The 14,096-nt window shown below is 48.9% G+C and overlaps 1 long non-coding RNA gene and 1 other non-coding gene across 20 annotated transcripts in view, besides 1 other annotated feature; both read left to right on the forward strand.

Moving 5' to 3' along the window:
- Positions 1–14,096, forward strand: part of MEG3 (maternally expressed 3) — a 34,919-nt gene that overhangs the window by 19,625 nt on the left and 1,198 nt on the right. For 3 of the 19 annotated variants that reach the window (NR_190996.1, NR_190995.1, NR_190994.1), the window contains one exon: positions 144–8,493. The exons of 15 other annotated variants lie outside the window; for them this stretch is intronic. This is a non-coding gene — a long non-coding RNA (maternally expressed 3). Of the gene's footprint in view, positions 1–143; positions 8,574–14,096 lie in introns of those variants that run through there. One more of the 19 variants, NR_046473.1, reaches the window with a different exon arrangement.
- Positions 6,658–6,755, forward strand: MIR770 (microRNA 770). The gene has a single exon (NR_030528.1). It is a non-coding gene; the product is annotated as a microRNA 770 (primary transcript).
- Positions 9,226–9,727: an enhancer, noted in NCBI's record as "H3K4me1 hESC enhancer chr14:101321295-101321796 (GRCh37/hg19 assembly coordinates)". NCBI's record gives its function as "activates a minimal SCP1, AML or CMV promoter by ChIP-STARR-seq in primed H9 embryonic stem cells {active_cell/tissue: H9 hESC(primed)}" and the evidence as "EXISTENCE:reporter gene assay evidence [ECO:0000049][PMID:30033119]".

The raw sequence follows: 14,096 nt of genomic DNA on the forward strand, positions 1-14,096 counted from the left end.
CTGCCTCCTTGTGTTGTCTCTGTGGCAAAAGAATTCTATAGGCGGGCTTCAAATGTCGGACCCCAAAAGAATTTCTTCTTTTTCACTCTTCTAAATGAATGGCTCTTTCATTATTGAGTCTCCCTTTGGCTCTTGTGCCGCAGGGCAGACTAGGATGGAAGTGCCCTGTGAGCTGGGGGGCCCTTCAAAGGGCCAAGGAGAAAACGCAGGCCGAGGGACCAGCCTTCCAAATGGGCTTCAAGCTCCAATGACCTCCGCTCGCCCCCTCGAAATGTCTGGAAAACATAATGGGCAGATTTTCTGTCTTCAAAGTTTCCGGCTAAACCTCTTCAAGTTCTTTATTGTTTGGGACTGAGACACTCAGCCATGTTAATGGGTAGTTTCTTTTGTATTTGCCTTGAAAGGCCAAAATATTTTTATATTGCCACAGACAAAGCCACCTATTTAAAAATGAACTCCATGTCCGTCGTTTCCCACCAGGAGACTATGTACCATGTGTGTGTCTCTATGTATTCTGGGGTCTTGAAACAGGTTTCTCATGGGGATGGTCATTCACCACGGTCCAGAGGGGCAGAACAGGCGGCGCTTGCCTTGCCCAGGGGGCCTGGGGAACGTGGGCCCTCATCTCAGATCTGCCCCCAGTATGTTTAGGACGCGAGCCCCAGAAGGATCTGGGAGTAAACTTAACATTCACTGTGTCTCTGCTCTGCATCCGCCATTTGTGTGTGTTTCTGGACTGTGGGCTGTGTGTACCTTGGTTGGTGACTCAGTGAGAAGAAGCAGGAATGCCAAAGATACTGTGAATGTTCTGAGTTTTGTTGCTGTTGTTGTTGAGAGGTTGTTTCACTGGTATCTATTGCATTGTATAATAAATGACCAGATGAATGAATGAGTGAAGCAAGAGAGAATGAATAAACAAGTAAATAGGTAAAGAAGTAAGCAAGCCAGGATGAGAGTGTGTGTACACAAGACCATGGTTCATCCGCTTTGATGGCTAGGCAATCAATATATAAATAGAAAAAAACCAGTGAATCACTAAGTAATAGGGCAACACACAAAGCGATATCAGGTGATTATGGACTAAGGGGTATGTGTAACTCAAATATATGCCTCTGACATTTGACAATGAAAAAGAACCTAAATGAAAGAAAGAATGGATGTATGAGTAGTGAAGTGCAGAATGAGACATAGATTTTGAGGCCCGTCAAAATGAAAAGATGCAAGTTAGGGAACAAGTGATCAAAAGGGAGAAGGGAAAGGTTTTTTTTAAAAAACCAAAACAACAAAGAAAGGTTAAAAAAAAAAACAGACTAGAGGATGAGTAATGAGTAACTCTGTAAGGAGGACCATGTCAGACTATTGTAAGCTAAGCATTAGGACTGATACAAATAATATATGCTCCTGGCATAGAAAAATAAACCACAGAGAACGAGTTCAAAGAATAGCAAAGAAAGAAAGAGGACCCAGTGGGCGAAAGATGAGAGTGTACTTTTACCAAAAGTTATCTAAGCCTGAGCACTTGAAGTCTGCACATAAATAAATAAATGACAAAAGAAAGAAAAAAAGGCCAAAAAGTCTACATTGCGTGTGTGGATGGATGAATGAGCAGTGGGAGTGCAGCGCCAGGTGACAAGATGTTGTGAGGGGTTTTGAGTCATCCAGTCCTGGGCACTGAGGTCTGTTAGATGAAAGGATATGAGAAAGGTAATATTGGTAAATAAAGAAATAGGAAACAATGTAACAAATGTTAAGTACAGAAATACATTAATGGGTGGTAAATAAAGATGTAAAAGAAGGCAATGCGATCGATGGTGGCAAAAGATCATCACAGATTAAGGGCTATGGCTGGTCCACTTCTAGAAAACCACAGGCTGTCCATTAAATAATGAACATCTAAGTGAACAAGTCAGTGAGTACCTAAATAGACAAGGATGAGGTGAATGAGAAGACATGGCCCCATGGGTCCTCCTGATGAGGGTGTTGGGGTCCCCCCTGGGCACCCCAGCTGCATGAAAATGAAGGACAGGAGGTATGGAAAGCTATGACAGAAGAGAGAAAGGAACGGTAAAAAGAAATAACAACCAAATGGATAAATGGGTAGATCCACGAGAAGAGTTAGGCTAGGACTTGTCATAAGGGCACCTGACTCCACTAATAGAGGAATAAATGCCTAATAAAAAGAGAGCAAGCAGGAAGGAAGGATGCTATGAATGCAGGAAGGAAGTAATGAGTGAGACGTGGAACCGCACGGCCAAGGATGGACGTTTGCGGGTGGCTTTTTGATGCGTACAGCCAAGCCACTCCATGGCAATGAGCTCCGAAGACAAAGTGCAAGAGAGAATGAGTGAGAGAGTGAGAGAGAGAGAAACAATAAAAAATGGGAAGAAATGTAAAAAGGAAGAAAGGAAGAGAGGTAATATATTAAGGAATAAATACATGCATGCAGATTTAAGACAGAGCCATGCTAGAACAGGAATGAAAGGCTGTGTGAACCAAGCAGACCGCTTAATTGGCACCAGTGCTGCTGGTATGGTCAATCACCTACTCAACTAAGGAACGGCTCAAAGCATACACATGGGAGGGAGGAGTGGGGCCACAGAGAGAGGGCCCATTAGTTGCAGATTACGATGTATCCAGTTAGGTGCACCTGCCTTCGAGAAGTGTAAAAATAAGTATTTACATAGAAAGAAAGACTGAATGGATGCACGGTGAATGCATGAATGATTGAACGACAGAAAAGATTTGCATTGACCGATGAGGAGGGCATTGTAGACAGGGATGAGGGTCATTGATCCTGGGTGCAGATCTCCAAAAGAATGACAGAAAGAAAGAGGGAGTGGTGGAAAGAAACAATAGGATGGGAAAAAATGAAAATAGAAAAAAGGAAGTGAAAGAGATAATAAATAATTAGATCAAATAAGTTGATGAAAGGGGACTGGTTTAGCACAAGCCATCCACATTAATTCAAACCTGTGGCTCTGAAGTTTGTTTTTTAAATGACCACAAGTGTAAGACTGAATGAAAGAATAAATGCGTGCATTCCATAGGATGCAAGAAAAGGAGTGAGGAATGGGAAAATTGGAAGAACGAGAGAGGGAGAGATGTAAGAAAAGAAAGGAAAAGTGAAGTAGGCATATGAAAGAAAAGGCACTTCTTGGACAAGCACTGAAATATAATGAGACAGTTTTACCCATTAAATATAATAAACAGTAAACGTTGAGGTTCATCAATAAAAGCACAGATACCTGAATAGAGGAGTGACCTGAATAGAATTCGTTCAGCCGAACGAATGAGAATGGATGATTTTCACTATCCTGTGCACTCAAGGCCCAAAAGAGAAAGCAAGAGAGGAGAGAATATGGAAACGTATGACAGGATGTATATAAGCAATACAAACATATTGAATGAATAAATAAAGACATAAATATGTGGGAGAGTGGACCACGCAAGGACAAAAAGAGGAGAGAAGGCAGCAAGAATTATGACTAATTCAAAACTGGGTTCCTGAGATAGTTAAATAAATCCTGCACCAAATCCCCAGGGGGAGAAATTAACAAACAAAAGACAGCCCCACACGGACCAGTGTGCAGAAGGCTCCAGGAACCGCAGATTATGGTTAATCCAATTCTGTGCACCTGAGGTCCATAAATAAAAGAATAAGTATTGAAATGAAAGAATGACAGAAAGAATGAATGGACACATGAACGACTGAATTAGAAATGGAAATGCCTGGCACAGCCAGGAAGGAGCTGCCCATGGGATTGTCATTCATCTCACTCTGGGCACCTGAGGTCCATAAGCGTGAAAAGAGGCAGGAAGAGAAGTGTCAGGGAGTCAAAGATAGAGCTAAGGAAAGGCAAAAATGAAACTAAATGAAAGCGAAAGGGAAAATAAAGAAAAACCAATAAAAAAGAGAACGAATACGTGGGTGTATCTGTAAGAGTAGGATCTGTTAGGATTAGTCATAAGACTGTCAGTAATCCTGAAGATGGATGAGATAATCCAGGCCCAGGTTCCCAGGGGGAGGGAAAATGGAGAAAATATAAAAAGATGTGAAAAAGGAAAAAGGAAAGGTAATAAACAAACAACCAAAGTGATAAATGGATAGTTAAGGGAGGTTGTCTGAACAGGGATTATAATTAGTTTACATACATACTCCTTAAACAGATAAATACATTACACCTTTCAAAGAATAAATGAAAAATAGAGAGACATACCTGGCTCCAAAACAAGGCTGTATCTTCTGCCACTGTAATAAAATAGATGCAATTGAGGTTCATAAATAAAAGAATAAATACTTAAACGTGAAAGGTGACTAAATGCGGGGAAGAAAGATTGCAAATAAATACATGGGCCAAAGATGTTTGGTTTGCCCATGGAGTTTTAATTAAAAAAATTAATAAGGAAAACAAATACCCAAAATAAGGAAGACTGACAAATGAGTGAGTGGATGAGAGAGTGAATGGTGCTTGACGTAGGAGCAGTAGTGCTTTAGGGACCAGCATGAAGGTGGTGACCGGGAGCCCTGATTCATGGGATTCTGTCCACCTGACTTTATAAGAACCAAGAATGGCTGGGAATGGTGGCTCACGCCTGTAATCCCAGCACTTTGGGAGGCCGAGGTGGGCGGATCATGAGGTCAGGAGTTTGAGACCAGCCAGTTTGAGATCAGCCTGGCCAACATGGTGAAATTCCATCTCTACTAAAAAAATACAAAAATTATGGGCGTGGTGGCACCTGTCTGTAATCCTAGCTACTCGGGAGGCTGAGAGAGGAGAATTGCTTGAACCCGGGAGGTGGAGGTTGTAGTGAGCCAAGATTGCACCACTGCACTCCAGCCTGGGCTACAGAGCAAGACACTATCTTAGATCAAAAAAGAAAAAAAAAAAAAGAAGGAGAAAGAACCAGAGAAACATAAGGAAGAGTGAGAGGAAGAAAGAAAGATGCAATTTGGGAAGAAATGAAAAAGAAATGAATAAAGAATAAAATAATGTAACGGTCAATAAATAGGACTTGTGAATGGAGGCCTTTAGGCCAAAGGCTATGATTAATTTCAAGCTATGTTACTGAAGTCCATAAACAAAGGACTCAGATCTAAATGGATGAACGAATGACTGGAAGAAAGGGTGGTAGGAAGGTAGGAAGAAAGGAAGGAGGGAAAAAGGGAAGAGAGGAAGGAACCTTCTTTCCAGTCCTGTGTTCTAGACAGTGGAATGAAGTGGTCCCCAGGGAGGGTGGCTGTAGGCATGTCATGTGCTTGTCACATGCACTTGCCCTGGCAGGGAGGAGCTGGCTCAGGAAGACCCTGGTCTTGGGGTGCTGTTGCCCTATCTTGGCTGTGTGGGCCATTTCACTGCATCTGTCTCTTCCTCAGTTTCCCCATCTGTAAACCTGGAGTGGCACCAGCTGCCTACTAGAGTTGATCTTATGTGTCTCTGTTGATGGTACCCCATCTATGGCCTGGATAGGCAGGAAGGGCTTGGACCCTGAGCCCCGCAGAAGGTTGCATGAACGAGTGGTGTGAAGCCTGTTGGGTAGCTTGGCCACTCCCGCGGCATGGGTCACCTGCACAGGAGGTTTTGCCCACCAGGGGGCAGCAGAGGGTCAGGGAGCAATAGGCCCTGGGTGGAGCATGGGCCCCGCCTGCTGTGTGCCACCCTGGGTGTGGCACCTACTCACATCCAGGGGTTGGTGCAGGGAAAGGCCAGAAGGTGGCCAGGCGCACCTGAGAAGGGGGACCCAGAAGCCCCGGGACCCAGGAGCCCTGGGCAAGCCACCAGAAACCTTGTTCTTGCAACTCTCTGCAGTGTGCCCAGGCCACCCTCTGGCCTGGTCTTCCATGGGGCAGGGCGCCCACCCTTCTCAACTCAGGTTTCCCTGGGCAGCAGGTGCACCTCAGCACCCCTGGGGTTGCAGAAGTGGTCCGGGGACCCTGGCTTCCTTGACATGCCATCCCCAGAGCCTGGTTCAAGGCCTCTCTGTCTTCTCGGCTGTTTCACGACGTGTTTTGTAACTTGGCGGGATTGCGTTTCGCTGTGTCGAGGTTGTCTCTTCTCTGACTCGCCCTCCGGGGGACTGCCGGGGTAAATCTGGAGAGTTGCTCGTGCTGACAGTCCTCCCCCAGGGCCTCCCCGGTTCTGTTGAGTCTCCTTTCTCTGTAGTGGAGGAAATGTGTGTAGTTTTGTGTTGTGTGCCTGTGTTTGTCTGTAAAAGCAAGGACCAAAGTCTCCCTTGTTGACCTCTCAATTCCTATTTGGGACATATAAAAACACTGGATTCTTAACAAGCGCCCGGAGCAGTAGGAGCACAGCTTGGATGGACTCAGGACTTGTGGCAGGGAGCACGTGGGAGGCAGGGGAGTGGGGTGGGGCCAGGCCATCTGGAGTGGGAGGCGTCATGCTCAGAGTGACTCTGTAGACGCTGGGTGGGATGGGGAGTGCGGGCGCAGGCATGGATGGGGCTGTTAGCTAGTGTGATGCTTGAGGTCTGAGCTGATGGCAGCAAAGTGGGGTGCTCAGGAATCAAAGCTATGGGGTTATAGACAGGATATGAAGGAGGGAGGGAGGCAAGAAGAAGGGGGTGGTTCCCACGCTTCTAGCTCCGGCCGAGTGGATGGCAACAGCATTTGGAAGGCGGAGGACATGGAATTCATGTGTCAGGAGCCACCTTCCGAGCCTCCAGTACCACGTGTCAGGGCCACATGAGCTGGGCCTCGTGGGCCTGATGTGGTGCTGGGGCCTCAGGGGTCTGCTCTTCTTCTCTTTCAGAATCTGGGGCTCCAGGCTATGCCTTGGCTGGACTGAGGTCTGGGGGTGCACTTATTATCCCTGGGGACACCTGCTGAAGCTTCTCCCTGACAAGCTGTGTCACTGTTGGATGAGGATGGGGCGGGAGGGGTTCAGGGCAGAAGAAGACCGGGAGGGTCTTTCAAAAGAACTCATGTACGGCTGTTAAAAAAAGTCAGCAGAGGCTCAGGAAGACTTAAAGTGTGCAGAAGGCGGGGAAGGGAGGGCCCATTGCATGCACCAAGAGGAAATTGGAAGGAACAAGCGACGTTGGCTGCTAGGAGAGCCTGCTCCCAACATCTAGGGGCTGTCCTGACGGGTCACAGTGGGTCGAACTGAGCCAATGAGAGCAGCTCTGGGGAGACCCACTGGTGCCCTGGAGGCTGGGTGGGTTTGGGTTGGATGAATTCTGTGTGTCCTTTTGGAAATGTGGAGGCCATGAGGGGGGATCAGGGCTCTTAGGGTTTTGACCCTTAAGAGTTTTGTATCTGTAATTCAAAGGTTCTTTAGTTCTGGGATGCTGAGATTCGGGATAGGGTTCCTAATGGCACAAAAGCCAGAGATAAAACATCCTTCACGTGCTCCCTACCCGGTTCTTTCTGTACCAGACCCACAAGGTCCGAGTTGGGATCCTAGTGCTCCTGTCTGGTCAGGGCCTATCTTTATGTGTTCGTTAAACTTTTAACAATGAGAATTAATTCTGTCTCTTGACATTGTCATTTGCATGCTCCCCACACACAAATCCTTTCCTGGTGACACCAGGAGCTACAACTCTCCTTGGCCTCCTCTTGTGACTCCCAACTCCCTCCTTGGGAAGCTTGGCCTCAGGACCTCTGGGATAGACAGGCCACGAATCCTGCTGTGTCCCGTTGTGTTCCTAATATAAATGGTGTGGATGGCACTTGACCTAGAGCAGTGGGAAATGCATGCACCACTCAACATTCTGACATGTCACCCATTTTACATTCTTACAGGCATACTTTTTTTAAAAAAAGAGTGTCTATTCTTTAATGAGCATCCCTTCTTTAAAAAAACCTAATTGCCATTATTCACCACATACACTTTTTTTTTTTTGTATCCTGCCTCTTCTATTTAATTTTCTGTCATCAACATTTTCCCTTGTTCCATGAATCTTCATAACCTCACTTGCTGCGTTGTGCCTTGTTGAGTGGCTATGGCATCATTCACAGAACCATTCTGTTATTCTTATGTATAACCACCTTTTAAAAATATTATGAATAATGCCACAACTAACTGCTTAAAACACCCTTTTTTTCATTCTTAAGAATTATGTTCTTCCACCCAGAAATTATCATTGCTTCACTACAGATCAGTTTCCCCTGCTAGACTGTGAGCCCCATAAGGGCAAGGAGCTTATTGAATTGGCCTTTGTATCTCTGATGCCCAACATGTTGTAGACTATAAATAAATGATGAATGAGTGGATGGAAGAATGGAGGAAGGAGCGAGTGAGTGAGTGTTTGGCTGATGGATAAGAGGGTGGAAGGATAGGCGGAAGGATGGATTGGTGAATGAATGAATGAATTTCCTTTGGTTAAGTCTCTTGAAAGAAAGGCTATGGATCTTTGTATGGATGTTGAATAATTTCAGTAAGCTTACAGCATTTTACAATGTTCAGCAATGTATGACCACTTAATTAAGATATGGCTAGTTTGTCTCTGTTATAAAGTACTTTTGCATTACTTTAACTTGCATTGCTTTAATTACTAATGATGGGTGAACACTTTGACCTATGTTTGTTAACAAATTGTATTTTATCTTCTGTGAACTGTTTGTCCAAGTCCTTTGGGTCATGGCTTTCTGAAGAGACTGGTCCCAGATGTCCTTGGGATGTAGGGAGCCCATAGCTCACTGGAGGCATTCAAGGAACCAGCCAGGCAGCCCTCAGAGAAAGTAGTGTTTAGGAGATTCTCATGGTGTGGGGTTGGCCTAGGTGGCCTTTCAGGTCTGTTTGATGTTAGGATTTGCTTCTCCCTGGGAAGTGGGTGATGGGGAAAAAGACACCTTCCATTGGCAGGTGTAGACACTGCAGGCTGGACCTCCTGGGTGTGCTTGTGGACTCCGATCTTGCCCTTGATAAAACCCCTGTGGGACAGGAATAGCTCTTTGAACCTCCAAGGTCCAGACAGCCACATCCTAGCACCCTGTACAATCAGTTAGTGGCCTTCCCACCAGCGCAGTCACTCATTCCTATTAGATCCCGATGAAGCCAGGCCCTGGGGTTTCCATTTTCCCACCTCTTAGGGGAATTGGGTTCCCCGCGTCCTGTGATATGTCAGCAAATGTCCTCAGCCCTGGCCTGCACATGTGGCCTCAGTGGTGGTCTTTGGGGTTTAACTGACGAATGGAACATTTTGGATCAGGACTGATGGGAGAATCTCCTTTCATTTTTCTTCACCTGGGGCAATTACATTCTAAGGAGCGGAATAAAGGGCATGTTCTGCCCAAAGCATCAGGGCTCACAGGTCAGTCACAGCCATTTAGGGAGGGCATGTCACCCAAGGAGGGCTCGCCCTTCTTTCCAGAGCATCCTCCGCTCTCAGCAGAGCTGCTTCTGCCCACCCATCCCTCTACTATAGCACTGAGCACTGTTTGCCCGTGTCAGAATCCCTCACCCACATGTTTAGCTTGGTATCCGAGTTTGGGAGGCCGGCAATGACTTTCAACATGAATTGCTCCATCTACCCATCCATGCATTTGGCCTACTTATCTTGACCCCGTGCTTTTGGCCTTTTCTTCTCCTGAAAGCAAACCCTTTCATTTTGGGTGGGCTGTGTAGCGCCATGGGCTGTGGTTATGAAGCAAACACCCTTTCTTGTAGCTGCCTCCTCCGGGGTTACTGCCCTGAGCACGTCCCAGCTGGATCTCGTCTGCCACTGTCACCCATAGCTTCTTCCCCATGGTGCTTTCCATGTGTCACACACCACGACTGTGACCCAGGGTCGGGGTCAAGAGTAGCCTGGGGCCAAGCCCTCCCACCCATGAGCGGAGAAGTCCTCCCCAGGCCTCACCTTGCCTGGCGCATGGTCCCTCCCATGAGCTTTGCTTTCAGCCTTTCAGCTTCCTCCACAGGGTGGCAGTGGTTGTAACTCATCCATTCATCCCTTCATCCCTTCATTCATTCACTCACAGCCAACAGACGTTTTTAAAAAATTAGCCAGTGCTATACTAGAGCTGGCTCCCAAGGACCCGCTGCCGCATTGCCTTTTGAAACAAAACAATGAACACGTTGGTAAAGGGGCCGTGCTTGTGTGTCGGTGACAAGGCGAGATCCCTGAGTCAGGTCAGGCTTGTAGATTCGAGTTCTGTTGCGAGTTTGATTGCCCCTCTGACTTTGTCCCCTGTACAACTAGGTTGATTAGGAATCAGCCAACTGTGTTCCCTGGGTGCTCAGAAATCACAGCCCATATCCTCGAGAGGCCAAAATGAGAGCCAGGGGGTTCCAAGATGAGTGGCTGCTTCTGGCCGGGAGCAGGTTTTCAAGTCATTAGAACACTCTGGCCTTTCCTGGAGGTGATCTTGGAGCCATTCCTGCCCCTTTCAAGAGGAGTTAATGCCCAGCTCTGTTTAGAGAAAATTGGGGGAGATGATTGCTCATGTGGGTGATAAGAATCACCTCCCGTGCAGGGGTCTGCATAGAACACTCCATAGGCAAACCTGGGTGTCCAAGGCACGTGGCATTTTGCAAACTCTGGGTGCAGCTCCGAGCTGTCCTGCAGGTCCCAGACCAGGTGAGAACTCCCTGAGTTCCTGCTGCCTGGGTCGGGGGTGAGGCATAGGTCTTGGGGGTTCAACCTGGAATTCTGAATGTCATTCATTGCATTGGAGAGGAAGGAGAGTAGGCAAAGCCAAGACCCTGGAACTGGACAAACTCGTGTGGTTTAAAGTCACTGTGAGAGCTGGAGTTGAGTCTGCCTACGGGGGAGGACTGCGGCACCTACCTCGCAGGGCTGTTGTGAGGAGCAATGTAACCGTGATTTTGAACTGTGATTCTGGAAGGGCGGTGTGCGTGTCCCCGGGGGTGTGCCAGGGGAGTGAGGAGAAAAGGCCAGGGAGACAGCCTCACTCAGGCAGCTGAGTGGGAGAGCATTTATCTCTAAACCTGGAGGGGTATATGGTGGGACAGGAGGAATTTGGGCAGGAACTTTCATGCTAGGGGTTTGGGGGACTCGCTGGACAATGCCCCTGGACCCCCCGGGGGTACGCGTTCACGCTCACCTCTGAGAGGCTGGAAACGCCTGGCTGTGCTTTCTGAATGCTGTGTGCTTCCTGCCTCTGTGCCTGGCCTGTGTGCAGCACCTACTTGTGTCCGCCTTCAAAAGGCCCTTCTGGGTGGCGTCCTTTTCCCCAAAATATTAGGCACCAGCCATCAAAGATACTGCATTGTTGCCTCCCCCACCCCTCCCCCCAACTGACAACATTTGGGCTCAAATGCAGCAGGCTGGGTGCCCAACACAGTGCCTGGCGAGTGGTAGCGCTTACGTTTCTTTTCTGTTGAATGGATGGATAGCTAATGAAATTGTAACCAATGACAAGCCTTGATGTTTATAACCTTTACTAAGAGATTATTATTTTGCTCTTCATGGACCTGTTAACAACCACCATATTGTATCTTACGGACGTTTGTATGCCACGTTTGAAGAGCAGGAGCCTTGTTTCGGCGTCATGTTGATGGAACTTGAGCTGTCTGATGCGAATCTGTGTTTTATGTTAGAAAGCGCGTAGCCTTAGGATCTGGCAGACCCAGGGGCCACTTAATTAACCCTTTGCCTCTTTGACCCTCAATCTCCTTTTCTCTAAGCCATAGGTCACCTGAAAGCCTACCTCACAGGGCTGTTGTGAGGGCCGAGGGTGGGTGTGTTTCAACAGTGTGCAGATGCTGGCTTTCCCTGGGAATGGGCATATGTTGGGATTTGTCTTGAAAGCATGAGTGATGGCTTTACTAGTCCTAAGTGAATAAAAAGTCAGCCCTGACCTTACGCTGGGATTGCATTTCCCACAGTCAGTGGCATGTGCAGACCACTGGCAGAGCAGCCTGCAGGTGCTTAGCGATGTGGGCCCAGAGTAAATATTTGTTTGATTGATGAGTGATGGCTTTTTCCTTCCTCAGAGTTTGCCCTGCCCCCCATTCCAACGTGGGCTGCTGCTTCTCCCCAGCGGGTTGTAGCTGGCAGGGCCGTTGTGCTTTGGGGTTTGCTGTACCTGTCGCTGCCGTGAGGGGACGATCTGTCTGCCCGGAGGGGTTTCTGCAAACATTCATGTATGCCCCTGCTTTCGTTTGTTAGGGAGAAGGAGTGGGGTGACCTAGAGAGAGGATGAGGAAGGGGTTCTGGGTGGCATCCTTGGGGTACCAACCCTGCTTCCATCCTGCGCTCTGAATTTCCTCACAGCCCTTTTCTGTCTCTGGTAGAAGGTGCAGAAGGTAGGCTTTGCCACCTTCCCTGGGCCTGGCACCAAGCTCGGGGGTCTTGTACACACTTTCCCTTCTCTAACTGGGGTGTGGGCCCATTTCCTAGATGAGCTTGCTGAGAATCAGGACAGCTGGTATCAGAGCCAGGACTTCCCAGTCTTGCACAAACAACCTGTGCATTTTTGAGTCCACCAAATAAGGCCTCCTGCCTGGTCCGGCTCACCCCTGCCAGCCCCCAGCAAATGCAGCCTGGTGCGTCCCCACCCCTGCCAAGAGCCCAGGAGTGCTCTGGCAGAGAAGTGCAGGGATGAGGAAGGAGGCTGTGCCCTCCAGGGGACTCAGCTGCGTTAGAGGAGGTGCTGCTGCAGTGGCAGGGGTCTCCAGACATCCCACGCAGGGGTCCTTTCAGATCAGGCATCTCTTCACCAGACCACCGTATTCCTTTTTCAGCCCTCGTCTCTTGCACGTGGGGGTGCAGTGTTTGGCTCTCACATCCCCACATTCCAGCTGGTGGGGGTTTGAGCTGGGTGTTCCTTCTGCTCCCCACTCCCCACTCACGGCCCCCACCCCACGCAAGCCTCCCTTGCCCCCACTCTTTGTCTCCAGCTTTCACAGCCTTGGCGGGCAGGCTGCTGCGCCTGTTGCTGCCCCGGCTCTCTTCCACCCGCCTCTTCTTTCTCAGCCTGAGCTTTACCGTGAGGTCTGGGCGCCACACCTTGGCCCCTGCCATGCCTGCTCCCAGAAGCACCCACGTGGGTCCCCTGATTCTCTCCTCCCCTGGGCTTTGCTAAGGAGCCCTTTCATTGTGGCCTTTGGTGTCTGCCTCATGCCCATCCCCTGTTCTTGAGAACTTGGAAGCAGAGGGGGCCCCTCCTATTGCTCCCAAGAGGCTCCACAGTAGGGAGCCCCTCCCAGGAGATTCTGAGTCTGTGTTTAGGTGTCGATTCCTGGGTGGGCCTTGGGGTCCCCTCAGGCCAGGCCTGTGTGTGACCTAAGGCTGGGGGGCTCTGTCAGGCACCTAGTGTCCCTTGGAGGTGGGCGGGGCTGGGTCCTGGTCTCCTGAGGACGGGTGGGGAGACAGGCTCAGGGAGATTTCCACGAAGCTGCCCTTGAACCCCTCCTCTGAGGCCCACACTGCCCTGGCCCTTTACACCCTGCCTCCTGCACTAGTAGGCACATAATAGATGCTCGCCACCTGTGGAGGGCAGGGTTTAAATGGCTGGAAAGAGCTGAGTGGGCTGTTTGGCTAGCGTACGCGCATTTGTTTAAAAGGAAAGGGTGTGTTTCTTGGCAAAGACTCTTCGGAGGAAACGCTGAACTGGGGATGGGTCTCTACCTGTTCTGGGGCCTCACTGCCCTTCCTGCCGGGGACAGGCAGTCACTGGTGGGTTTCCCCCCAGTGGAAACACAATATTTTGGAAATATTTGTATCTAGGATAAAACTTCATCTGGACCAACATGTCTTTGTTGGTGTTGTGGCCCAGGTGATTTTGAGAATGTAGAATACATTTGGCAATTTCCAAACGGAGTGATGACCTGCTCCTCCGCCCCCCATGCCCTCCCTGAGGCTGGAGGCTTCAGAAGCCCCTGCCTTGGGAGGAGGCTGTTCTACCTGAGAAGTCTTTGTCCCCACCGTTGGTGACAATCAGCATTGACCTGTGAGGCACCTGCCAGGTTCGGGACGCAGCTTTAGACATCCAGAAAACCGGGGGTGGAGGGGTGGGGTGGGGGCTTAAGACCCCAGAGCTTGATTCCTTTTAACTGTCTCATCCCCAAAGAATGGTACATGGGTACCAGGTAGGTTACTTGAATCACCCTGAGCCTCGATTTTCCCACCCGTTAGAAACAGGGTAATTCATGACAGTGTCCGCTTGGGAGACG

The sequence above is a fragment of the Homo sapiens genome, chromosome 14 (assembly GCF_000001405.40).
Source record: "Homo sapiens chromosome 14, GRCh38.p14 Primary Assembly".
In the NCBI taxonomy this organism is placed as follows: Eukaryota; Metazoa; Chordata; class Mammalia; order Primates; family Hominidae; genus Homo; species Homo sapiens.